Source organism: Homo sapiens, chromosome 16, assembly GCF_000001405.40.
Source record: "Homo sapiens chromosome 16, GRCh38.p14 Primary Assembly".
In the NCBI taxonomy this organism is placed as follows: Eukaryota; Metazoa; Chordata; class Mammalia; order Primates; family Hominidae; genus Homo; species Homo sapiens.
Window position 1 is genome coordinate 52,420,293 of NC_000016.10, and position 14,012 is coordinate 52,434,304.

Below are 14,012 nucleotides of genomic sequence, written 5' to 3' on the forward strand. Positions count from 1 at the left end.
AGTGCCACAAAGAAGTGCAAATAATTATGTGTAAAGTTGGAGAAGGGAAAACGGTATACTTGGCACTTTTCAAGGCACTATGTATCACAGAAAAAGAAAAATGTTCACTAATCTCAGGCAACTTTAAGCCCATACTGGCAGTTTATCAATGCCAGTACATTTGAAGAAAGAAAGATTAAAACATGTCAATTTTCAGAGTAAGACTATAAAGGGTTTATTCCCTTGAAGGTGAGATCTGAGAAGTCAGTTTAACAGTTCAAACTGGGCAGTTTCTGGGAAAGTTTTATTGAGCTCTCAGCCAGTGGTCTCCTGCTTGCAGCCTTGGTCTATGGCACCTCAGTGAACTTCTCTACCATCCAGTGGGGTAGAACCACCTACTCTGCATCAGGTGTGAATCTCTTCCTATATTCTTTCTAGTTCTCTTTATTCCTCATTAACCAGTCCCCTGACACTCATTAATAACCATTTTGTATTAAACCTTTCCAGTTCAGATGACGTTATAGCTTCTGTCTCTTCACTGGACCCTGACTGATACCCATGCCATTTTATGTCCACATCCCCCCACATCCTGCCCACTCTGTTACATTGTTTCTTAGTTTAATAAATGCTCCAAGAGGCATTAGGTTAATTTTGTTTAACTGAGAGTTTCCTAGGTTTGCTGGACCACAAGACATTTTTATAGCTAACCACCTGTTATTCGAGTACCTTAAAGTACACTGGTATTTAATGGATCAGTTTGGGAAATGTTGCTTAGGGGACTCATGGCTAATCTAATTGTTTCCTAAGAAGGTGAAAAGTGCTTGCAGCCTCCAAAGGCACTAATTTTGATTCACTACATTATTGAATATCTACAGTGTTCAGGACACAGCATCACCAGAAAGCTTATAATAAATGGAAATGTGAATGTCAAAAAATGTCATGGGGAATTTTAGGATGCTGTGGAAAAAGAAAGGAGTGAGAAATTCAATTTATTAGGGGAAGTACTAGGGAAAACTTTCTGGAAGCAAGGACATGTGAATTCAATCTTCGAAAATAAGCAGATTTTGATGGAGATGCATATAATGGAGTGGGCCAGGGTAGGAAAAATAGGCAGGTGGGGTAGGAGGCAAAGACCTGTGGTTATTAGGACTCCCATGCTACCACTGACAAAAATCCAACTTAATGACTTAAGCAGAAAAAGGAATTTATTGGCATGAATAATTAAGAAGTCCAATTCATGCTGCAGGCACAGCTGGATCCAGAGACTTAAATCATGTCACCAGACTCAGGTTTACTCTTTGATTTCCTGGTTTCACTTTTCTCAATTGGACACCATTTCCACTCATGGAGTGTCTCTCCTAGAGTTAGTTGTTATGTTTGATTCTGAGCAACCTTAGAAAAATTAAGGATTATCTTTTTCCTAAGCGATCTAGAAAAAAAAAAACTCACAGAATTCAGTTCAATAGACTGTGACTGAGTCACATGTCCATCTGTAAGCCTATTCTTGTGAGTAATAAGACGTGATGCTCTCAGTGGCCAGGCCTGGTTCACACATCTATCCTTGGGCCAAAAATGGAGTCAGCAACATCCATGCCACATAAATGAAGGAACACCAGGAGGCAGTTACCAAAAGAAGAATGGCTACCAGACAAGCAAAAAGAAAAAGAAAAAGGAGAGCTTATACTTCCATGGGGAAAGAGTAGAAGATGGAATTTTATGATGCTAAACTTGATGCTGAAAAGAATGACCCAAAGAATTCAGGTTGATCAGGTTTGTAAGTGAAATCATTTGATACTTGAAAAATAGAAAAGTCTTGCCTAACTCTAAGGCACACACATTAACCTTCTCAGATTAGCAAAACTAAGTAGAGATCTAAAGTCAGTTTCCCTACATCAGAGGAGACACCAGGAAGGTTTGGAATTTCCAGAATGCCTGGAGAGAACATCACTCTGGTATTTTGTGAGCAACTTTAATGTTCACAAGGACAGAAGGCACTAAAAATAGAACAAGAGATGGCATTGCTGCCTGACAGTGGGTTCATACAGCTGATATTAGATACCAATGTACAATGCAAAAATAAGGACACCAAACATTACCCAATCTGAATGAGGTTTTTTCTCAATTTCTCATTACCTAGAAGGCTTAATATCACATTAACCAACTAAAGCTGCCACAATGCTGATGGGCCCTGGTGAGGAACTGCTAACAAGATCTGAACATGCTTAATAAAATGACCAACTCTCACTGATTTATAGCCAACTAATTACCGGGCAAATATCCAGGCTGTGTTCTCCCTGCTGGAATTGATAGCAGGCTGTCAATGTGAAAAGGGACAAAAAGGCAGTTCAGAGTTGAAAAATAAGAAGAAATGTTTGATATATTAGAGTGGACACTGTTACTCTCTATCAAGTTATCTTGGGATGTCTAGAGTCATACTGTCAGCCAAGTGCAGACTGTTATTTTTAGGGGAATCTAGAGTTACTTAGAATCCCATCCACATACAAAATATTGGAAAGGGGTGGTAAAGGCTATTGTAAAGTTTGGCTCTCGGGAGAAAAGAAAACAGAAAGCATACTAGGGCTGTAGAAATCAGTTGCCTTACTGCAGAGATCCCTTATTTCTTACAAAGAATGTGCATTTTGGAAACCTCTGTCTACGGCATTGTTATTCATTTGGGGAGCACTGTGTCACAAATTTTCTAATGCACAAGACTGAAGTTTAAATGAGAGATTTCTGGTTAAATAAAAGACTACCCAAGCAACTGACCACTGAAGTTTGCTGCTTTTGCAAGAACATCCAGGTACATCAGTAGACACACCTCACTTAAGCAGGCAGAAGCTAGCTACCAGTGGCTTGGAATTAAGAGACTGAACAAAAACAGAACATCTCACTGACTGTGTGCTCAAAAGCAAAACAAAACAAAACCAAAAAACCATTTGACCTGGCCTTTCTTGACCCAGCTGTCAAGGGGATCATGACAGGGGATCATGGTGCTTTTCCAATTTAGCCTCATTTATCTCATATATCAATGTTACATCTAAAGATGAACACAGGGCATCCTTGCACAAAGGGGATATTGACCAACAAGGCTTGGGGCATTGGCAAGTTTCTGAAAATGAAATGATAGGAAAAAAATAAGGTGTCAGGCATATAATAGGTCACATACATCTGCAAAAACAATAGCTACAGCTTGTCAATTTTCTTAAAAGGCCAGAGTCCCTCATTTGTTATGTTTTTCTTCTTTCCAGGGAAAATGAATGTAGAGCATATTCTAGTATGGAGTCTTCCCCCACTCAGCTATGAGCTGAGTTCAATTAGCTCATCTACTTCTGGTGTATGCATCTACGGTTTCTTTCCTCTTCTGATTTCAACATGTAATACCCTTTGTCTGGTCCCTCAAGAAATGATATATTTTCAAATTCATAGTCTTTTATTGTAAGCAATAGAAATGAACACTAGTAAAGTAAATAAATAAAGACAAAAGAGGAGGTAGTAGGCTTATTTATGGAATGAAGAGTGGAACACTTGCAAGGACTTGGGAAGGAAGGACCAAGCCTGCTAAGGAAATCCCACAGTGAAAATTCCTAAACCTTCTCTAACAAGCATTTTCCAAGTCAACTTGATGATAGGACTCACTTAGAAGTGTTTGTTAAAACACTGATTGCTGGGTCTAACCCACACCTGCTGAATCAGAACTTTGGGCCGGGGGTATGCTGGGATCTGTATATTTAATAGAAAAGACCAAGAAACACTGAAGACAGTGCTAATATTAACTCCACTCCATTGAACCTCAGGCTCTGCTTCAACTGGCAAATTCCAGGAAGGGATAAGCTGATTGGCTCACCCACGGACAGGTGTCTGCCCCTGAGTCCATCAGCTATGGCCAGAAAGACTGTGTATTGAAAAACACTGTCCAGTGTGTCACGGGCCAGTGCCAGAGAAGGAGAAATCACCAAGAGCAGAGAATCACTGCTAAGTAGTGTCTATTACCAACAAAATAAGCCAAAGCTATGTACATTTCACTATCCAGTCTTTAAATCTCATTTAGCATTCTGAAATATTATATCAACTATTTTTTGAAATTATAAAATGATGCTGTGCTGGAAAATTGGAGGAAGTATCCCGGTGGCAAATCCAACCTTGATCAAGAGTTTGCATGGAGCAAGAGGAAAACAGCCAAGACACAGAGGCTTACAGTGACGAATGCTACATCTAAGACATCTCGGACACCACTTATACTATGGAGGGCTACCCCTCTTCCCAACCTCCAAGCCCCCACCCTGAAATGTCCCCAAATTGGAGTGCAATCAAGTCATGAAGTCAGTGTACAAGCTTGGGAAAGCCCCAGCACCCCACTCCTGGCTGGCTTTTGGGGGTTACCATCCATGTCTTCTGCTCTTCCCCCGGAGGCCCCATGGCCACTGATTTTGCCAAATGATGGCAGCTTAACAGACAGTCTTCTTTGTCCGCAAGGTCTTAGTCACTGTGAAAGTTCAATAGAAAGTTTTGCTGCAGGCATATTTTCAAATGCCAGGAAAGCATCTGACAGTGTTGGGTGTTTGGAGGGCTATTGTTAGGAAGATTAAGTGCTGCCCTATGTTCAATCATTTATTCAACAGCCACATGGGGAAGCTAACAAGAGGAGGCAAGTGTGATATGGATGTTTGGTGGGTTTTGCAAAGGAGAGTTTTTCTTCTTATTTTATGCATAAAGCCAAGGAGGGAATCTGAACAAGAGGCAGGTCATATGGCCTCACTTTGAAGAATAGACTGTTGGAGTTGACTCTAGGCAATGTCCTCACATAAAAGGCAGGCTGAGAGTAAGAGAACACCTTCCAAAAGCCATAAAACTAATTATTTTGGCCTAAACCAAAAGTGAGTTTTTCCTTTTCCCAGACTCCTGATAAATGCTTTGTTATCAGCCAACTCTCTGAAAAGAATTTTCTTTGCAATTCCACTCACTTTTCTTTTGACAACAGGGGTCTCGTTTTTCACAGGAGAAGCACTTCTCTCTGTTCTTAACCCACGTACTTCTCATGGAGTTGAACGCATCCTCAGTTCCAGGGATGAGCAGGTGACTTAAGCCTAACAAATTAGATCAGTACCCTACACTAGCTCATCGTCATTGCTTTATACTTGAGCACAAGACCCAATTAGACCCAGCTAAACACAGAGATTTTATTGAGGTGGTGAGAGAAGAGACCATTCTCTTTTCTGCTGGAAATGCTAGCAGTACAGATATTTGAGCTGGGCTTCCAGAAGTCATTGAGTGAAAACAGAGAATGAAAACACCCCAGTAGAACACAGAACAAAGACATAGAGAGAAAATGAGTGCTGATGACATGTTTGCACTCTTGGCACCAGTTGTGTCTGAAGCTACTTATGTCCCTGGACTTCACAGTTATACAAGCAAATAAATGCGCTTACTTTCCCTCAGCCAATTTGATTTGTGTTTTTATCTCTTGTAATTGAGAGTCCTAATTAAAACAGGAATAAACAGAATAATGCATTGTGTTAAGTTCTATTTCTTTTAAAACTATTGAGCACGTGCTTTGGGCTTCTGAAGAAGTAGAAGGCATTGTCCTTCTGAAGTGCTAAAGGAAAGACAGTGTTTATACATGCACAAAGTATAGCATAATATCTACTTATAGCAATAAAAAGGGGTTTATGTAGCAAATGAAATACAGAAGGGCTGAGGTGGTCCAAAGAGAAAAGTCAACATGGAAGGCACAGGTGTAGTTTTCTTGGAGGAGAGATAAGCTGGGTCAATGTCAAATTTGGTTATTTCTTCCCCCGCTTAGCCAGATGGGCTTGGGCCAAAGGGTTTATGCTTGAGACAGCAGTAAGAGTCTTGGCCAACACCACAATCCTCTTAGATGCCACTGGGAAATCTAACAATTCAGCTTCCCCTCCCACGTGCTTTTTGGTGTGTTGGATTTGGAGAGCTCTCCAGATGCTCCAGGGTTAAGTCAGATCAGCTATAGTCATCTCAATATCCCCCTACAATAACTTTGAAGATGCACTATTCTTGAACTCTGCGTCCTATTACTGACTTCACATAAAAATTATCTAGAAATCAGTCAATCAACATCTTTAAGCGTCTATTGTGGGCCCACCTTGTGATGAGGGGAATGTAAACATTCATGTGTAAGACACGGACCCTGTATCCCATGAGCTTTACAATCAGTAGTGACCTATATAACAAATTAGATTATCAGCAAATGCTTGTATGTGTACCCAATAAAGTGCAATGGTTAGCATGAAAAGAGGGAGGATCAGAATGTCAGCTCCCTACATGATTCAGCCATAAAAAAGAATGAAATCACATCTTTTGCAGCAACATGGATGGAACTGGAGGTCATTATCTTCAGTTAAATAAACCAAGCATAGGAAGTCAACCATCATATGTTCTCACTCATAAGTGGGTACTAAAAAATGTGTACACGTGTGCATAGAGAGTGGAGTGATAGATAGTGGAGACTGGGATGGATGAGGGGATGGGAGAGAGGTACATGATGAGAAGTTGTTAATGGGTACGACATATGTTAATCAGGTGATGAATACCCTAAAAGCCTTGACTTGACTGCTATGCAAACCATGCATTTAACAAAATTGTTCATATAACCCATCAACTTGTACAAATAAAATAATAATAATAGCAATAATCATACATTTTAAAAAGCTACCTGAAAGCAAAGCTTGCATTTCAGGCAATTTGTTCCCTGCTAGATCCAATACAGAACCTTACAAAGGCTCACTCCATATATTGCTGGGGATTATAGAAGATTTACTGAAGAAGGTGTCTGGGAGTAATATTTGGAATATACAGCCCAGAGTGATGGGCAATGCTCTGCTTCTAAATGTGGAAGATTTCATCGTGTGGGGAAAATGCCATAACTGTCATTGAAGACTGTGGTTTGAATGGTTTGGCTGGACTTCCAAAGCCTTCTGTACATTCACAAGTGAGTGAAAGATGAGAGGCTAAGTTTCTGTATATTGGACTCTGAAAACATTTCTTCTTTCTACCCCTCCTAGTCTTGTCGTATTCATTAAAAATCAGAAATAAGAGTGAAGATTGGACAAATAACTGCAATGCATTAATTACTTTGGGTAAAGGAAATCAAAGGTCTTTAAGAACGAGTGACTTTCCCCTGCAATGGGAGGTTTCCTAGGTCATCTCACTCTCTCTCACATACTATATTCTATCCAAGACCTGAAATATCATTACTCCTTCACAGTACATCATCCCAGCATATTTTGGAATGTCCCTCTTTGCTGAGCAGTGGTTGGGTGGATTGACAATATGTGTGTTCAGCCTACCTTTCTATGTGCCCTATGTTCTCTCCTATCGCAGCCCTCACCAAACTGTTTTGTAATTACTTTTGTCTATAATTTGCTGGATCTGCTGGCCTCTGCGCTTGTTCCTCTATGGTTTATCCTCAACCCAGCATCCAGAATGATCTGTCTTAAACAAAAGGCAGATTGTGTCAGTCGACTGTTCAAAATTCTCCATTGACTTCATTTCTCACTCACAGTAAAATCGCAAGCCCTAAGAATGACCTAGAAGACCCTATACCAGTGGTTCTCCTACTAATAGGAAATTAACAAAACCTAGAGAGGCTTATGAAAAACAAACAAGCAAGCAATGTCAATGCTGCACCCACCCAAAACTAATTACATCAATTCCTGGAGCTGTTATTTTTCTAAAAGGCCCCCCAGGTAATTCTTTTTAATGTTATTATTATGGAGAATTTTGAACATACACTAAAGTAGACAAGCTAGCACTTTGACCTCTGTGTATCCATCATCCAGCCATCTCTCAACCCATGGCCAATCCTGCCCCCTCCACATCCCCATACAGTTCCCCTGTCTTGTATTACTATGGAGCAAATTCAGACATCATTGCATTATCCAGGTAGTCATTATCTAGATTATCAATATCTATAAATATTTCAGAATGCAACTCAATAAATTAAGAATTCATTTTTCTTCCAACATAACCACAATGTCATTAACACATCTAAGGAAGAATGTACAGCTATTGTGATCCACTGCAAGGATGGAGAACCACTGCCCTACACAGCCTGCCTTGGGGCTTCCCATTTAGACCTCATCCACTGCTTTTTCTCTCTTTCATTCCCCTCAAACCACAGGGGCTGCCTTGCAGCATCTCAAACACTGCATACCTGGGAGCCTTTAGTCACCTTTTCTCTGTCTAGGTTGATCTTCTCCCATATAAACACACAGATTCATCCTTCATCCATTGTCAGTTTTTCAATAAGCCCCTCCTTGTCTACCCTATTTAAACTTGTAGCTCATCCCCTATCCACCTCATACCCTCCTTCTCCCCCTTCCATGCTTATTTTTATTCATGGCATTTATTGGGTTCCCAAATACTTACTGAATAAAACTGCATTCCCCCATCAGAATATAACTCCATGAGAGAAGGCTCCATGTAAATATTTGCTAAATGAATGCGTAAGTGAATGACTCAATTGGATAATATTATGCTGGCATGTAAGCCAATGAGATGATGGGATAAAGGGTAAAAAGTCAAATAAATAGATACTCTATTTTATAAAGCTTAGAGAAAAACAACAACGTTTGTAAACATGACAAGGTGAGAATAATTAATAGGTAATGCATTCACAGCAAGCTATTAATGGAAGCTAGAATGTTTGAAATAAAATCCTAAGCACTGAGGTTGACATCAGAAAGCACAACGGTTCGCTTTTATTAACAGTCCCTTGGGCTACTTGCACCATAGAATTAAGCCAGGTTGGTAAAAAGTGGTACTATACAATCATAAAGAAACAGCTGTAATGTGTAGGTCAAACTTAGCAGTACATAAATATGTATGCTTGTGTTCCACCTGCAAAAAAAAAAAATTAGGGTGAGCCAGTCCAGACTCAGGTAGGCGAAACCCCAAGCATCCTTGCTCACTAAGCATTCACATTCTCTTTCTCAGGAACTCTGATCCTGGAGTTCACTGTATGTGTTGTTGCTCTCATTGAGTCAGTAGCCTTCTTGGCCATCTTCCAGGTGTAGGAAACAGCAAGATAGCTGAGAATCTCCTAAAGGCTGAAGCTACACACTCAGGTGTAAAGGTACTAAAGCCATACTTCACTGCCTCCCTCCTCCAGGGCCAAGGAGGACATTTGGAAGCATTCTCTTTGGAAACCATACCTAAGACAGGTTGTTTCAGTTCAGACTTGGAACATTAAGTCTTGGCTTCCAATATAACAAGAGAGCTTACTCTCACTCTCCCAGGCTGCTAAGGCACAAGATGTCCTGTTTGTCATCTGGCAGATAAATATTCAAAGGCACCATCATTACGACAACAGAAGATGGGCTTGCGCGAGTAATGGTCTCCAGCCTGGCATGTGCTCCTCTGCATTAGGAATCATGGAAATTGGAGAGGGGTCCAGACAATAAAGATGCTTCTCACTCTCAATGCTAACATAGCACATATTGGACATCTCTTGAAACTACTGTGTCATCAAATCTTAGCAATTAGCCTCCAGAGTAACAGGCAAAAGTTTAGCAATGGATGCCACCCATGAGTAGGAGCAAAGGAGGGCATGATTTCCATACCCATTACAGGTGTGTTAGAAAACAAAACTATCACAAAGTCATTTATTCTGAAGTTCGCTTCCTGTGCTCTACTGTTCCCTGCATGAAGAGTTGCCATGCTTATGAACACAGACCTGTTTTGCATATGCAATTAAAAAGAAATGAAGTTTCACTTAAAACTCTAATGAATTTTATTTTTGGTTGTTTTGTAGCTTGGGGGTGATAGGGACATAGGCTTATCTTTCTATTAGAAAACATAGGAGATTATGCACATAACAATTAGACACTATAGATTCACTAATTTCATCCAGAAATATTAAAATAAGCATTATGCTAATGTGCCAATTGCCATAATTTGGCCCAACAGAACTCTCCTTTGCTCACTTGGAGAAAGATAGAGAACTGTGTATTTTCCACAGAACATGCCCGTTCTTCTCTTCTCTTTTGTATCTGCCAAAATATTGTTATCCACATTCATTCATTCATTTGGGTGGTCCAATGCAGTTGACTTCTCAAGTCCACAGGTGACTAGAAGGGGAGCTTGCTACTGCGGGTGAGTAAGGGCAGCTGATTCCCCTAAGGATGCAAGAAGGAGAACCCGGCCTTTTATATTTGCAACTTCGCCAAACCTTGTGTAAGTTTGTAAACACCATAAAATATGTTATGATGTTTACAGCATATGTCTCTTATTGTTAAGAACTATTGTGGAAGTATAAGCGAGTCTACTTCTTAAAATATTTTTATATAATAGTTATGGCATTCAATTATACAATAGTAATTGTGAATAATTATACCAAACCCCAGTCTGTTTTATGACTACTTCTCACACTGAGCTCACATACTCTATATAAACACCATCTGTATCAAACATAAAACTCTTAGTTGTTGTAAGAATACGGGCTTACAAAATGTAGCTTATTAGTTCTGGGGCCAAGCAGTTTCATGGCTATTGCGTAGGCTTCCACAATCCACATGAATCCGATGATCTTCTCCAGCTGTGTTCCGTTTCTTTGACTTGAAGCCTGGTTACCTTGATAGCATAGGATCATGGCAGAAATCATGGCCCACATGCCTGGAATGTTGACACACCTCTACAGTTCTGTTCAGCATTAAGTGCACTTACTTTGTGCTACAGATTTCTGCTCATTTCCTATATGTGTGATACAGATTTAGGTCCTTAAATTTGGCCAACAGGAATGCTTCCTAAATTTCCCTTCATGAAGTGCTATCAGGGTCTTTCGGTGCCCCTTCCAAGCTGTTCCTCCAGAAATCATCAAATGAAGTTTTCCCCCTGAAGAGGCCCCCTCACTATGTAAAAAGTTTTAACAATTAAACAGAACAGCAACTTTTAAAATATGACTGATCTCTGAACAATCTTTGGTCTAAGAATTTAAATCTCTATTGACAGCTATCTAACCTACTCAAGACAGCCTGACTTTGAGAAGACTGAACAAAGTACACATTTTGTCTCCAACAGATAAGTGGTTCTTCATCAGGAAACAAACTTCAAATACAACCTGCAAATAAACAAAAATATCTTCTCAGAAATTTAACCCAATCTAAGAAAGATAAGCTGTGCCCATTCTCAAAAGTCATTCTGCTCAGATTTGTTGCTTGTCTTTAGCCATTGACTAAGCCCAGTCAGCACATTTCCAGGTGTCTGATGATCTAGAAGTCAATATCATTGTCACCTTTTTAGCATTTTTTTTGAGATGTTTTCTCGCTGTGTCACCCAGGCTGGAGTGCAGTGGCATGATCTCAGCTCACTGCAAGCTCCACCTCCCGGGTTCACACCATTCTCCTGCCTTAGCCTCCCTAGTAGCTGGGACTACAGGTGCCCGCCACCACGCCTGGCTAATTTTTTGTATTTTTAGTAGAGACAGGGTTTCACCGTGTTAGCCAGGATGATCTCGATCTCCTGACCTCGTGATCTGCCTGCCTTGGCCTCCCAAAGTGCTGGGATTACAGGAATGAGCCACTGTGCCTGGCCTTTAGCATATTTTAGTCTTGAAAATTTTCCTTATTAGAAAGCCTGATCTCCTTGCTAACTAAGACTTTAGGATTTAAGCTATGAAAAAACATACTGTTTCTTCTCTCTTTTTTTTGTTACCAAATTTCTACCTCCAAGCAGCATAAGCAAAGGTTTTGTTGCATGCAAAAGGATATTGCATTTCCCCCATGGAATTAGTTTCTGATTTGGAAAGAACTATAGCTATATTCACATTGTTTGGCCAAAATATTCTGAACATCATTTAAAAGATGAAAGCTAGGTATGCCAGCATTTGGACACAATTTATAAAAGTGTTATTATGGACAAAATGGTGCCATTCCTTCCAGGTAACTGTCCAAATATCCAAAGATGGATGTCTTAATTTGGCATCCAAAATACACACAAGGGGTCAGACTGTATGTAGGTAATTTCCTCCGATGCTATTATTTGTCCCCTGGGATCCCACATACGCAATACCAATTATAGAGGAGAGGATTAAGAATAGGCCAAAAGGGTGAGGGCTGCAACAGCAGGCCTGAATGATTTGGACTAAGATCTTATATCAAATTTGCAAATTACCAATTAAGGCAGGTTTAGAACATGGCATCATTTTTGCTCACTGTGACAAACTGGAAATTAAGGCTCTCTCTGCATGTCAGAAGGATGACAGTAATGACAGAACAAGAAATGCTATCAGAAGCATCTTTCCTGGTAACAATATATCCTTAGACACAAGGCAAACTGCCTGGTAAGAAAAAATAAGCCAAAAATCTGAAAATAAACATAAGACCTGGATCTCAAAAAAACCACTACTCAGTTGCCTCTGGATACGTCACTCAAACACCTTGCAAATTAAAGCCTCAAATACCAGAATGCTCATACCTGGTGTCTGGATGAATATGTTCAAAACTGTCATTCACTTCTACCAGTTTTAGCACGTGACCATTTTCAAGGTAGCTTTAGTGTGCTGTTCATTTAAAACTAAGACAATAATAAAATCTTGTGGACTTGGGACATATCTCCTTTGACAAATGAGTGGTAGCATGCACCGCACTTAGTAAGGGGCATGTGGTCTCAGAAATTGAATGGTAACTCATGAAGTAGTATACAGTGTTGTTACTGCATAATTCCTGGGAAGATACATCCCCTATACTGTTAGATTTTTCATGCTCAACATTGGAGCGGTTCATTGGATTCCTTAAGTAATGTATAACAATGAACACCTACCCGATGCTCACCCATCTCAAGCTTCCTTAAATCTTGTTTTTCTTTTTAAACGTATAGAAGGATACTATGCCTTGGCACTTTTGTAGTACCTCCAGCCATAACACTTGAACCCCACAAGGCAAAGCTGTTTGCTTGACTATAAAAGAATGACAGAGAAGTAGGGAAAATAGACTGGAAACCATTCACACCAAAAAAAGTGCCATGTGGCATTAAGTCCCATTGAGAACGTCGGCTACTACTTGTGGCATTCACTCTGCCTTACTGCCTGCCTCGCCATGTGGAAAGCACGGACTAATGTTTCTGTTCAGTGTTGTGATGGATGTTTCATCTAGCTAGCTACACACACAAACATATATTTACACATCTTATATACAAATATATGATAGGCATAAATCTATATCAAATATATATGTCATACATATATGAATATTTGACCTAGAGCGAGGACATATCCATTCCATTTCTGGCTGTCCCTCTTAAAAACAAAGAGATATTGAAACAAGCCACCACCACCCCTCTGTTCCTCAGTTTCCTAATTTGTTACATGAGGTTAACTCTACCCTACCTAGAAAGGGAACCAAATGAAGTAATACACAGAAAACTGCTTTGAAAAGTCCAGAGTGCTATACAAATGCCAGGGATAATGATATGTTTCACAAAAGAGCATTATTCCTTTGCTAAGAAGGGTACATCCACATTCACGTTTTCTGTGAAGGTTCTTCTTTGAAATTAAATTGAGACCGTAACCAACATCTCTCCCAGTGCTGCCTGAGGTTTTACTCAGCAACAAAGCAAGGGCTTCTTTCATCCTTCATCACATTTGAGTTCAAGCACCAAGAGGTACTTTTTACCAGTGGTGAAAATAGCTTTCTTTTCACAGCAGAAACACAGAAAATGATCTCTCTCTTGATGCTAATGGAAGGATAAGGCTTATTCTACAGTTGCCACCACACACACACACACACACACATGAAAAAAACACCTTGATTGATTTGCTTTGGCTTTGTTGATGGTGTGTTCTTGCACCAGGAAGATGGGAGTGTCATGAGAAAGAGGAGAAAGCACATGAAGCGACGGCTTCATTTATCCATATGAATAATTAAATATTGAGATACATTTTCAAGTGGTCATCTTGTTCCACTTTTCTTTCAGCTTTCGGTGTCCCCTGGACACTCCCTTAAAAAAATAGATTAAACCCTTCAGCCTTCATGCATTCAATTAATTCTCATCATACCTGCCTTATT